Source organism: Homo sapiens, chromosome 8, assembly GCF_000001405.40.
Source record: "Homo sapiens chromosome 8, GRCh38.p14 Primary Assembly".
In the NCBI taxonomy this organism is placed as follows: domain Eukaryota; kingdom Metazoa; phylum Chordata; class Mammalia; order Primates; family Hominidae; genus Homo; species Homo sapiens.
In genome coordinates, this window is record NC_000008.11 from 63,419,924 (window position 1) to 63,434,152 (window position 14,229).

Consider the following 14,229-nt stretch of genomic DNA (forward strand, 5'->3'; position numbering starts at 1 on the left):
ATGTAGAACATTGAAGCTAATTCTTACTAGTAAGGAAGAACTCACTGGTGATGCAGAAGTAATGGAAGACATCTCAGATTTCATAATAAGAAAGATATAAGATAATTCCCAGAATAATCAGACATATAGATTTTTGTTGAAAAAACCCAAATCAAAACAAAATCGAAGAAAAGTATAGCTGATTGGCAGGTGTTTATGGGGGAGAATGTGGCTTAAGATAGGTAGAAGGCTCCAAACATAGAAATTCAGAAAACAAAATATAGCCCCAATGTACTTGAAAATGTAGAGATATAAAAAGACATCAATGTAGCTGCATGAAATGCTGTCTGCTGAGGTCTAGTTTTGTAAGAAATCCACTAATATTGCTTTAATATTAGACTTCAATATCAAAAAGGCATAAAAGATGATAGGAAAACTAAAATCTAGAATTTTCACAGGCATAAGATGACTGCTTGAGAAACAGAAAGGAACTAAAGCTGGGCTGAAGCAGTTCAAGGAGGGTGGGAAAGTTGGCTCGCAAGCTGACCCTGTTTAGCATCATTTCCTAAATATTATAGGCGGAAGAACATCTCCTTCAAGGAGCACCATTCACTAGACTTACAGGCTTCATCTCTTTTATTTGGGTTTATAAATATGCTGGAATTTTGTGGTGGTAATTTGGACAGGGACAAGAAAATATCAAGTTATGGATAAGTATTACTTTGTATAGTCACTGGATAAGGTGCTATAACCACCGGATCTGTCTTATCTGGTCATATTCTGTTGATAACAGAATGCCCAGTTATTTTGCAAGCACAGAGCTAAAAAGTTGTAAATTTAACAGTAAGAGTATGGACAGGAAACTTTGACCTCTTTTAAAAGCAAGGGCTCTGTTTTGTAGGAATGTCTGGTGAGTAGAACCCTCCCCATACCTTACCATAAATAGTCTTTGAAGTTCTTGTAATCAAAACCTGCTCTGCCAGTGCATCTGTATAGCAACCTGTACAGGTTAACCCATAAAACTTCCCTAACCCATACAACTTGCCCCAAACCCTAGATAAGAGAGATGTATTTGAGCATCACCTCCTGTTTCCTTGCTGGTCAATCTCACAATAAGGCCTTTATTTTCTCAGAAACCGGTACCATAGTATTGGTTTCTATGTGCATCAGGCAGTGAACCCTTTTGCTTGGTAATAGTGCTGGCTGCTGACCAAGGGATGCCCTTCATTGGCCACAGGTGCTTAGGAGAGCTGGCATAGGATAAGGCTGGGTTGTGCTCACCTTTGAGAAGGTCAGATAGTTTGTGGACCACGGCTCATGATCCTGGTTCATTTAACTCCTGGTTCCTCAAGCAATGTGTCATAGTAACAAGAACCTTTGCTGAAGCATTTCTGTCCCAGTTGTCTCATGCCCTCTAAGGACTCTTCAATCTCTCTCTCTCTCTCTCTTTTTTTCTCAACTTCTCTCACCCCACTCTATCCCAATGAGGGAAAATTGTTCTTAGACTTGGGGGATATTCCTTTCTCTTCAAACCCTATTGTCTACACAAGCTACCCACAAACCTTGCCTGAATCAAGGAAGTAAACTGAGAAATGGTAAGGAGAAAACACATGGGAGAAAACACACTTTTTTCCCTAAAAATTATTTTGCCTCAATATTAAAAAAATTAAACTTATTTTGAGATAATTTTAGATTCACATGCAGTTGTAAGAAATAATAGAGATCCAGTATACCCTTTACTGAAATTCCTCTAATGATAGGTAACATCTTGAAAGCTATATTATAATATCACAACCAGGAAAAAAACATTGATATAACCCAACAATCTTCATTTTGATTTTTCCAATTTTTCTTGTATTAATGTGCGTGTGTTTAGTTATATACAATTTTATCACATATGAAGGTTCCTGGGGTCACCACCGCAGTCAAGGTGCCCAACAGTTCTATCACCAAGGAATTCCTCCATTTTGCCCTCTCACCACCATTACCACTTCCCTTCAGTGCCCTCTTAAGAGGCCCGGGAAGCCATTCATCTCTTCTCCATTGCCAAAATTTTGTATTTTCCTGTCTTTTCAAAAATGTCACACAAATGAAATCATTTAGTGTGTAATCTTTTGGGATTGGCTTTTCTGTTTCCTCAGCAATTCAGCATGTTTTAAGAATTAAGAGAAAGGAGATAACCTCTATATTAGAGAGAGATGATCACAGAAAGACAGACATGCACATTCTCATTGGCTTGCTTGCTTTATTGAAAGTAATATTCAAAGTGGAAAGGCTAGAATAGACCACATGTTGCCAAATGTATATGACGAGTTCCAACCTGTATTCTAAGCTCCAGATACAGATTTTCACTTCCTTCTGGAAAGTTCCACATGAATCACTTGAAGAAAACTAAAATGCAATGTGTTCAAAATCAAATGTGTCATACATAATCCTTTCCCCACAAAAACATCCATCCTCTGCTCCACTTGTACTTCCTGCCTTAACTAAAGCTGCTCAAATCTCTAAATTCACCAATCTTATCTTACTCCTGCCACCCACTCCACCTCACTTCATAGTCTCATTTTCATCAGCACCTTAATTTTTCCCGACCATAAATACCTCAGCATTGTGCTTCTCTCCATTTACATTGTCTTTTTTTTTTTTAGGTAAGACCCTCACCTTCTCTCATCTAAATGATTGCAAGGCATCTTAACTGCTCTTTCATCCCTTTCCCTTCAACATCTCATTACCCCCACTGTTGTGATTATCCTTCTAAAAAAACGACCAGATCATATAATTCCTCTAATATTGATTATATTTAGTGCAATCTGTAAAGAAAGCAGACTGTTTCCTAATGTCATATTTCCCACAGAGGCCAATCCTAGAGTTTGCAACTCCATGGCTCCTTTCAGCAGTCATATTTCTAAGCCTACATAAGAAACACATTTGAAGTCCTGCCCTATCTACATCATGCTTTGAAACTGCAGCAACCAGTAAGGATAGAAAAAAGAGAAATAAGTAATTTCTTGTAATAGGTGAGGGAAAGTATTACTCTAGTGGTAAAGAGCTCACTATGAGCTCGGTCCCTGATGTATCTTCCATGGGGGCAAATTTCAAAAGGCCTGCCTTGTCCTCAGCCTTCCTCCTACTCTCCATCATCTGCTGAAGGCTCTTTTCCCAGGTGGTCTTTGGGCATTTCTGGCTATTTCCTGTACCCACAGTGTCCAGTTCCCTCTATCCCCTTAATCCTACCCAAATTTTATTGAACCGGAACTTCCCCAAGGGCAGGCAATCACCCTCAGGAATTTGATCTAGAGGAGAGGGAATCAGTAGTACGAGTACACGTGGAAAGATATACCCAGGAAGAATAAAAGACAGAGAGAGAGCTGAGCCATGCCAACTGATGAACATCAGTGCAGTGAACATAACAAAGTACAGCTGGAAAGCACTGAGATAAGCTGGCTTTTGGAGTTGTTGGATCAAAATCATCCATTTTGTCCCTAAATTGGATTCCCTCCCCAAGAGGCCTGTCTGCATGTCTGTTTCTAGATACTGAGAGATCCCTGTTTCCATTGCTAGTTAGCATAAATACCAGGTTAACTATGCATGAGGTAACTTGAATGAACCTCTCTGTTCCTTGTGGCAAGCAGGAAATTTTTTTAAAAAATTGTCTTTGGATAATTAATATTACTCTCTAAAAATAACTGGGTGAGGTTGCCCAATTAAAAAATAGGGACATGTTGGCTTTTCTGATGCAAAAAAGTACCGTAGTCCTCCCTTATTTGTGGGGGCTATGTTCCAAGACCCCGAGTAAATGCCTGCAGCTGTGCTTGGTACTGAACCCTATATATACTATGTTTGCTCAATCTGATAACAGAGATGAACTATAAATGACTAATGGGCAGATAGGGTCTACAATATGGAGATGTTGTACAAAGAGCTGATTCATGTCCCAGGCAGGATAAAATGAGATGGCATGAGATTTCATCATGGTGCTCATATAGTACACAATTTAAAACTTATGAATTGTTTATTTCTAGAATTTTCTATTTAATATTTTTGGATGGCATTTGACCATAGGTAACTGAAACCAAGGAAAGTCGAACAACAAATAAGGGGAGATACCATACGGGGAATTGGCCGAGTAGGGATTCTAGAGCAGACGGAAGTTAATGTTTTCTGCTTCTTGCTGGCAAGATGGCCAAATAAGAACAACTCTGGTGTGCAGCTCCCAGCGAGATTGACGCAGAAGGTGGGTGATTTCTGCATTTCCAACTGAGGTACCAAGTTCATCTCACTGGGACTGGTTGGAAGGTGGGTACAGCCCACGGAGGGTGAGCTGAAGCAGGGTGGGGCGTCACCTCACCTGGGAAGCACAGAGGGTCGGAGATTTCCTGTTCCTAGCCAAGGGAAGCTGTGAGAGACTGTACCAGGAGGAACAGTACACTTTGGCCCAGATACTGTGCTTTTCCCATGGTCTTCATAACCAGCAGACCAGAAGATTCCCGCCGGTGACTGGCTTGGAGGTCCTACCCCCATGGTGCCCAGCAAGCTGAGATCCACTGGCTTGAAGTTCTCACTGCTAGCACAGCAGTCTGAGGTTGACCTGGGGCACTCAAGCTTGGTGGGGGGAGGGGTGTCTGCTATTGCTGAGGCTTGAGTAGGCAGTCTTACCCTTCCAGTGTAAACAAAGCCGGGGAGAAGTTCGAACTGGGTAGAACCCACGACAGCTCAGCAAGGCCACTGCGGCCAGACTGCCTCTCTAGGCAGGGCATCTCTGAAAAAAAGATAGCAGCCCCAGTCAGGGACTTATAGATAAAACCCCCATCTCCCTGGGACAGAGCACCTGAGGGAAGAGTGCAGCTGTGGGCGCAGCTTCAGCAGACTTAAATGTCCCTGCCGGACAGCTCTTAAGAGAGCAGTGGGTCTCCCAGCACAGTGTTCAAGCTCTGATAAGGGACAGGCTGCCTCCTCAGTTGGGTCCCTGACCCCCGTGTGTCCTGACTGGAAGACACCTCCCAGTAGGGGCTGACAGACACCTCATACAGCGTATTTAATTAGGAAAAGAGGAAGTCAAATTTTCTCTGTTTGCAGATGACATGATTGTATATTTCGAAAACCCCATCATTTCAGCCCAAAATCTCCTTAAACTGATAAGCAACTTCAGCAAAGTCTCAGGATACAAAATCAGCACGCAAAAATCACAAGCATTCCTATACACCAATAACAGACAAACAGAGAGCCAAATCATGAGTGAACTCCCATTCGCTATTGCTACAAAGAGAATAAAACACCTAGGAATCCAACTTACAAGGGATGTGAAGGAACTCTTCAAGGAGAACTACAAACCACAGCTCAACGAAATAAGAGAGGACACAAAGAAATGGAAAAATATTCCATGCTTATGGATAGGAAGAGTCAATATTGTGAAAATGGCCATACTGCTTAAAGTAATTTATAGATTCAATGCTATTTCCATCAAGCAACCAATGACTTTCTTCACAGAATTGGAAAAAACTACTTTAAAGTTCATATGGAACCAAAAAAGAGCCCACATAGCCAAGACAATCCTAAGCAAAAAGAACAAAGCTGGAGGCATCATGCTACCTGACTTCAAACTATACTACAAGGCTATAGTAACCAAAACAGCATGGTACTGGTACCAAAACAGATATATAGACCAATGGAGCAGAATAGAGGTCTCAGAAATAACACCACACATCTACAACCATCTGATCTTTGACAAACCTGACAAAAACAAGCAATGGGGAAAGCACTTCCTATTTAATAAATTGTGTTGGGAAAACTGGCTAGCCATATGCAGAAAGCTGAAACTGGATCCCTTCCTTATACCTTATACAAAAATTAACTCAAGATGGATTAAAGACTTAAACATAAGACGTAAAATCATAAAATCCCTAGACAAAGACCTAGGCAATACCATTCAGGACATAGGCATGAGCAAAGACTTCCTGACTAAAACACCAAAAGCAGTGACAACAAAAGCCAAAATTGACAAATGGGATCTAATTAAACTAAAGAGCTTCTGCACAGCAAAAGAAACTATCATCAGAGTGAACAGGCAACCTACAGAATGGGAGAAAATTTATTCAAATTAAACAAATTTGGTAGAAAAAAACAAACAACCCCATCAAAAAGTGGACAAAGGATATAAACAGACACTTCTCAAAAGAAGACATTTATGCAGCCAAAAAACATATGAAAAAATGCTCATCATCACTGGTCATTAAAGAAATGCAAATCAAAATCTCAATGACCTTCCATCTCACGCTGGTTAGAATGGCAATCATTAAAAAGTCAGGAAACAACAGATGCTGGAGAGGATGTGGAGAAATAGGAATGCTTCTACACTGTTGGTGGGAGTGTAAATTAGTTCAACCATTGTGGAAGACAGTGTGGCAATTCCTCAAGGATCTAGAACCAGAAATACAATTTGACCCAGCTGTCCCATTATTGGGTATATACCCACAGGATTATAAATCATTCTACTATAAAGACACATGCACATGTATGCTTACTGCAGCACTGTTCACAATTGCAGAGACTTGTTTCCAACCCAAATGCCCATCAATGATAGACTGGATAAAGAAAATGTGGCACATATGCACTAAGGAATACTATGCAGCCATAAAAAAGGATGAGTTCATGTCCTTTGCAGGGACATGGATGAAGCTGGAAACCATCATTCTCAGCAAACTACCACAAGAACAGAAAACCAAACACTGCATGTTCTCACTCATAAGTGAGAGGTGAACAACAAGAACACATGGACACAGGGAGGGGAACATCACACCTGGGGCCTGTCAGGGTTTGGGAGTCTAGGGGAGGGATAGCATTAGGAGAAATACCTAATGTAGATGACGGGTTGATGGGTGCAGCAAACCACCATGGCACATGTATGCCTATGTAACAAATCTCCACATTCTGCACATGTACCCCAGAGCTTAAAGTATAATAATAGTAAAAAAAGAAGTTAATGTTTTCTTCACTTACTAGCTGTGTGACTTTGAAAACTTACTCCATATCTCCAAATTGGGTTGCCCTTATCTATAAAGTGGAAATAATATCAGTCACTGTCTCAGAGGGCAGTGGGGAAGCGTAAAGGAGGCTATGAGGGCAAAGCACTTGGTATAGGGTTTGGGGCATGGAAATCACTCATTGACTATTGGGGGTTGGGAGAGGAAGGCCTAGAAGATAGCTTGCAGGTTTATGTCTGGGTACCAATCACCAAAAAGGAGATTAGAAGAGTATTTGGGATTACTCTTTGGAGTTGCCACAAGATGGGTGTGGCTGCGTCTTTATAGATTCCATGTCAATGAGTTATGGAATTCAGGCTACCCTGGGAAGCCCTTGGGCCTGTGTCTCTCTTCAACTGGGGCAGTTCCTTCTAGAAGGCTGACAGCTAGGAGCTGTTCATCAACAAGCATTCCCAAAGCTAGGGGAACAAGCCCTCTAGTCCTCAGTGCGGGATCTGATTGGCTCATAACACAGTACTCAAGGTTGTATACCCCAGTACTGTTGTATCTACTAGACTCATTTACATTCTCAAAGCAGCTCCTCTGGGAGTTTAATAGTCTCTTTTCTTGGGAGAAACTATAAAAAACTTGGAAGAAAAGGTAGTGGCCCTGTTGAGACATGTGGTCTTGAGTCCACAGCCGATACTTATTTCCTTCCTTTATGAACTGATCTAGATCTAGATTTTGCTAACCTTCCACTTTTATGATGGGTGGTTTATTGGTTGACCTCATGAAGGGCACAGACTCTTTCTCTTAGGGATGCTAGCACCTGGTTACTATGCCTGTGGAGTCAACTGCCTCTGCCAAGATGGCAAGTCTTCTTGCTTGCTGTCCCCTTGACTCAAGGGGACTGAAATGAGATGGCAGCAGCAGCTTAAAATTCTCTTCCTGTGTCCCTCATGGAGGTGTATCTCTTTGGGAACCAGAAGCTCTAAATGCATGGAGCTCAGGGTTAAGATGAAAGGAAGCACAAATTCCCTGAGTGGCCACTGGGAGTGATGGTAAGCATGATCACTCCTGCTTCTAACCCTTGCTTCCAAGACCCATATATTCTTAATAGAGATAGAGCACCACATAATGGTTATTGTTTTAGTGTCTATAATGTGTCCTGGAGGATGACACGGTCCTTACTGGATATCATATCTGTTGGTGCCTCAGCTGAGTCTTTAATGGGCTATTTCATTGCTCTACTAGTCCAGCAGCTAGTTTCTAGGAGGGGTAGCATGGGATAGGTACAGGGGATACCATGTCATGTGTCCTTTGATGACAAGTGGGTTCCTTGCTCTGATGTGATGTTATATGAGATGCTGTGTTGATGAAACAAACACTCTCAAAGCCCTCAGTTGAGGCTCTGCAGGAAAGAAAGACTGAGCCATATCCAGAATATATGGCAATTCCCGATAAAATACCTTCCAGGACAGAAGGGCTCCAATAGAGTCAACCTGATACCCTGTGACTAGTTGTTCTTTTCAGTGTGTGGTTGGGCCTCTGCCTCGGCATCTATTACTGGCAGGCTAGACATGCAGCAGCTGCAAAATCTAGATTAGCCTTGATAAGTGGGAGCCCATGATCTTGGGCCTATTAATAGCATCCATCTCTGCCTCTACAGCTGCTCCATTCATACACCCCTTGTGTCAGAGGCTGACTGATGTCAATTTGCTGAGTCTTTGTGTCCATTTGGCTTTTTGGTGGCTCTTTTATGGTGGATATTCTCTAGGGGATGTTAACGTGTAATATTTAGATCTTCCCACTTTATGTCTCCTGTTTGGTTCATCATATACCTCTACTATAGTTTTCCTAGTCCATGATATTCTGATAGACTTATTTCTAGGCACCTGACCAATCAGTTGAGGCATTTGCAACTGCCCATACATTCTTAGAAATGCTGAGCTAACTTCAGGCCACTTTTCCTTCCACTCAAAGTAGTTCACCAAATGCACCACCTGAAAATAGGCCTAGTTGGAGGATTCCTTCTCAGCACTGTCCTTCAGGGGCACTTTAAAGTTCAAGTAGGCATATAGGACAGCTGCTGTCCATTTTCAGCTTGAACCTGTTAAAGGAAAAACTTCAGTTGAATTAAATTTAAAGGAGTTTAATTGAGTAATGAACGATTCACGAATTTGGCAGCCCTCAGAATCACAGCAGATTCAGAGAGACTCCAGGGATACCTCATGGTCAGAGCAAATTTATAAACAGGAAAAGGGAAGTGGCACACAGAAAATTGGAAGTGAGGTACAGAAACAGCTGTATTGGTTACAGGTTGGTGTTTGCCTTATTTGAACACAGTTTGAACACTCAGCAATGTATGAGTGGTTGAGGTATGGCCGCTGGGATTGGCAAAGACTCTGTTTTTGTTAGAGGGGCTTGCTCCTAAGTCAGGTTTTTAAGCTTGTCTACCTATTAAGTTAGATTACAGTTCATCCACAAGGACTCAAATAAAGAAATATGGAGTCCTTCTCAGGCCATTTTTAGTTCACTTTAGCAATTCCTCCTTTTTGGTCACTTTCTCTAGCCACCAAGACAGCATGGTACTGGTATGAAAATAGGCATATAGACCAATGGAACAAGAATAGAGAACCCGGAAATAAAGCCAAATACTTATGGTCAACTGATCTTTGACAAACCAAACAAAAACGTAAAGTGGGGAAAGAATACCATATTCAATAAATGGTGCTGGGATAATTGGCAAGCCACATGTAGAAGAATGAAACTGGATTCTCATTTCTCACCTTATACAAAAATCAACAAGATGGATCAAAGGCTTAAATTTAAGAACTGAAACCATAAGAATTCTAGAAGACAACATTGGAAGAACCCTTTTAGACAATGGCTTAGGCAAAGACTTCATGACCAAGAACCCAAAAGCAAATGCAACTAAACAAAGGTAAATAGATGGGACTTAATTAAATTAAAAAGCTTCTGCACAGCAAAACAAATAATCGACAGACAGACAACAATCAGTAAACAGACAAACCATAAAGTGGGAGAAAACGTTTGCAATCTATACATCTGACAAAGGACAAATGTTCAGAATCTGCAAGGAATTCAAACAAATTAGCAAAAAAAAAAAATTCCATCAAAAAGTAGGCTAAGGACATGAATAGACAATTCTCAAAAGAAGATACATAAATGGCCAAGAAGCATATGGAAAAATGCTGAACATCACTAATTAGTAGGGAAATGCAAATCAAAACCACAATACAGTACCACCTTACTTCTCAAGAATGGCCATTATCAAAAAATAAAAAATATAATTGGTGTTGGCCTGGATGTGGTGAAAAGGGAACACTTTTACACTGTCGGTGGGAATGTAAACTAGTACAAGCTCTGTTGAAGACAGTATGGAAATTCCTTAAAGAACTAAAAGTAGCTCTACCATTTGATCCAGCAATCCCACTCCTGAGTATTTATCCAGAGGAAAAGAAGTCGTTATACGAAAAAGATACTTGCACATTCGTTATAGTAGCACAATTTGCAATTGCAAAAATATGAAACCAGCCCAAATGCCTATTAATCAACTTGTGGATAAAAAAATGTGTGTGTATATATATATATATATATATATGTATATACCATTGAATACTACTCAGCCATACAAAGGAACAAAATAATGACATTTGCAGCAACCTCAATGGAATTGGAGACCATTATTCTAAGTGAAGTAACTCAGGAATGGAAAACCAAACATCGTATGTTTTCACTCATAAGTGGGAGCTAAACTATGAGGATGCAAAGGCATAAGGATGATACAATGGACTTTGGGGACTCAAGGGAAAGGGTGGAATGGGGTGAGGGATAAAATACTATATATTGGGTACAGCGTACACTGCTCAGGTGATGGGTGCCCCTCAATCTCAGAAATTACACTAAAGAACTTATTCCTGTAGCCAAACACCACCTATTCAACAAAAGCCTATTGAAATAAAAAAAGATTATAAAAAATGTACTCATTTGTAAAGCCCTTTCATATAAATTATGTTTTCTATAAAGAGATGAAAAAAAGGAAAAGATAATTTGGAAGCTGAAATTGGATTTTGGGAAGCCTATCAAATATATTAAAAGTTTAAAACACTTGATATTATGAAGTAGAATTCCAGGTAACCATAAGTCATTCATTTAGCCAAAATGATGACTGAAAATTGTTGAAAAAGGAAAACATTTACTTAATGACAGAGGGAAGACTTAGCTTTCCAAACAATCTTCTGTTAAAAGAAAAACTTTAGCTGAATTAAATTTAAAGGAGTTTAATTGAGCAATGAATCATTTGTGAATCAGGGAGCCCTCAGAATCAGCAGATTCATAAAGATTCCAGGGATGCCTGGTGGTCAGAACAAATTTATAAACAAAATAAGAGGCATGGTGTGCAGAAATTGGAAGTGAGATAGAGAAACAACTGTCTTGGTTGCAGGTTGACATTTGCCTTATTTGAATACAGTTTGAACACTCAACGGTGTATGAGTAGTTGAAACATGGCTACTGGAATTGGCCAAGACTGACTATTATTACAGGCATATACTCCTAAGTTAGGTTTTCAATCTTGTCTACCTATTAAGTTAGGTTACAGTTCATCCACAAGGACTCAAATATAGAAGTATGGAGTCCTTCTCAGGCCATTTTTAGTTCACTTTAACAAACCCAAATACCTAGCTGACCTATTCATGAACGGAACTTTTTATTTTTTCTTCTTGATTTTTGTTTCTCTCCACAAATGTAACCATATGTATTAGTAAGGGAAGGGGCACAGGTGCAACAATGGGACACATGGGGGTCCAGGTTACCTGCTCGTTCAGCCTGCTTTGTCTCTTCACTTCTGCTTATGCTTAATCTCCGTTATACCACTTGCATTTTACAATGGATTGCTGTAATCCATCATTCTCTGCTGAAAATGGAATGTCCTTGCTCCAGATCCCTGGAGGTCTGGGTTGTAATTCTCCCGTTGAAGCTTGTCATAAACTCCACACAGTATCCTTCCCCAAAATGGATACCTCTAGCATCATAGGATATGGCTGCTATGGATGCATTGTATGGCTCACACATCAGGGCTGCTAGCACTTGAGCCTAAAACCTGCTCAAAATAGAATCCTCCCCTGCTCTAGGTCTCTCTCAAAGCTGGTAGCCTTCTGTGCTACCTGGTATTGGGAGCAGTATTCTCAGGTGCAATATGTTGCCTCTAAAACATAAATAGTTTTACCTTGCATAGTACTTTCTTCTTTGTGCTGGACAGCGTGGGATGTGATAATTTGTTATTTTCTTAATGGGCATTTTCCAAAATGTCATAGACCACTGTACTCCTACAAATTGTATTAAAGGATCCCTGAATATCACATTGCCTGAAGCTCATGCATCTAATCAAGAACTTGTCGTACTCTTGGGAGCTCTGAAACTAGAATGGTTGATTAGGGCTTTCTCCAGTTGGCATAACAGGGTCTGGCCTTTATTTCCCACAATGATTTATGTCCCCACAGTGAATACAGCTGTCTCAGGGTGAATTGGCTCTGTTCATGGGGACAATTACCTGAGAAGTCAGCAAAAAACCTTCACTGGAGGTGGGGGAGAAAGTCTTTAGTTTTTGAAGGGGGAATTTAGGTGATATAGCCCAGCATGACAAATTATTTCTGCAAATTTCTGTTTTCTCCTTTTAAATTTTTGATTTTTTTTTGAGTTTTAAATTTACTTTTTAGCCTCTATTGGTTTTTTATATGTGTGTAACTCTTGCACTTTAATTTTAATTTCAAAAATTTTAAATATTTTAAGTAGTCTCTCTCTTGATTTGCTTATGTAATAGTTGATAGGCAAAGTGGAAGCAGCAGAGATAAACATCCTTAAAAGGGGATCATAACAATCACCTTGAACTCTTTTTTTTACTGCCCTTTTGCTGCCCTCAGTGGAATTCTCCTTTTTTATAGTGTTATAAAAGCCATGATCCTCTCAGGAGATTTACTGGGCTGCAACTCTTTCCGGGGCCACAGACATCTTTTTGCAGACAGCTCTTGCGCACTCCTGGCATGGAGATGTTTCTCATTGTCTCACCTATTTTAATTAAGAGGAATAATATTTGAAGTACATTAATATCCCTTTCTCTTTTGCATTTTCATGGCTTAATCTTCTTATTCAGATGGAACTCTCCATCTTACTGGAGATGAGGATAAGGAGGAGATAGGGCCTGGGATGGAGTTTAGGACTGCTATCATGAGAATACAAAGAGAAGACATTAATAGTTACCAGCTAGTATCTAAAAGAGGATTTGCAGCAAGACTGCCTTAAAATCTAGGTTCTGTGTAGAGATTGCATTAGCATACTAAGAACTAAAGCTGGTAGTCAGTGAGCATTTATTTTCTACCCTGAGTGTAGAGAAAATATTTCCTTTAGCAATTCTAGGCTAAGGAACCTGCTCTCCTAGCAGATGGATGCTTTGGTGGAAGAATAAGCTGAGCCTAACCTGAGAAATGAAGAGAAGTAAAAGGGAGTCAGATAGGAGAGAGCAGAGCAGGCACTAGGGTTTTAATCAATTCCAACACTTGATATGAGAGTGACAGTTTAGAAACGTTCGGGTTGACACATGCATGTAGAAAACATCAGTGCTAGCGGCAAGTGACCTGATTCCCCAGGTGGGTGGGCCTGCGAGACTCTAGGCACTAGAGCCTAGAAGAAGCCCTGAGCAGAGCATTTCCAACGTGGTGCAGGGATATGCCAAACAGCAGTGTTGAAGGGAGGCAGGGCTCTGGTTTCTCTTTTCTGGGTTGAAGACCCTGAGGGAGGTATGTGCTGGATAAGACCAGGGAATATGGAGAGCAGAGGGGATGGCTTCAGTAGAGCATACTTGACATCCTGATTGGATAGCAGAGTTTCAGAGATTAGATCTTGGCCACTTTGGTTCTCATGCGTTTTGTTTGGGACCTACCTTCTCCACAAGGGAGTTAGCTGAAAGTCTGATTTGAGGTCTTTCTGGAAAGTGTAGCCCTGAAGTCAAGCATTGTAGAATATACTGCCTGGGTCAAAATTAATTGGAAGTCACATCCAGGAATTAAGGAACGTTCAGAGCTGGGGAGAGTTGAAGTGGACGAAATAATTAGGGATGATCATAGTACCTGAGAGAAAAAGAGAGAGATTTCAAATTAGACAGCTAGAGAAAAGAGCAGGAAGGGAGCAAAGGAGAGGAAAAAGGAGAGAGAGAGAGAGAGAGAGACAGAGAGAACTACAGTACACATCTGATTCAACAGCATCAAAGTAG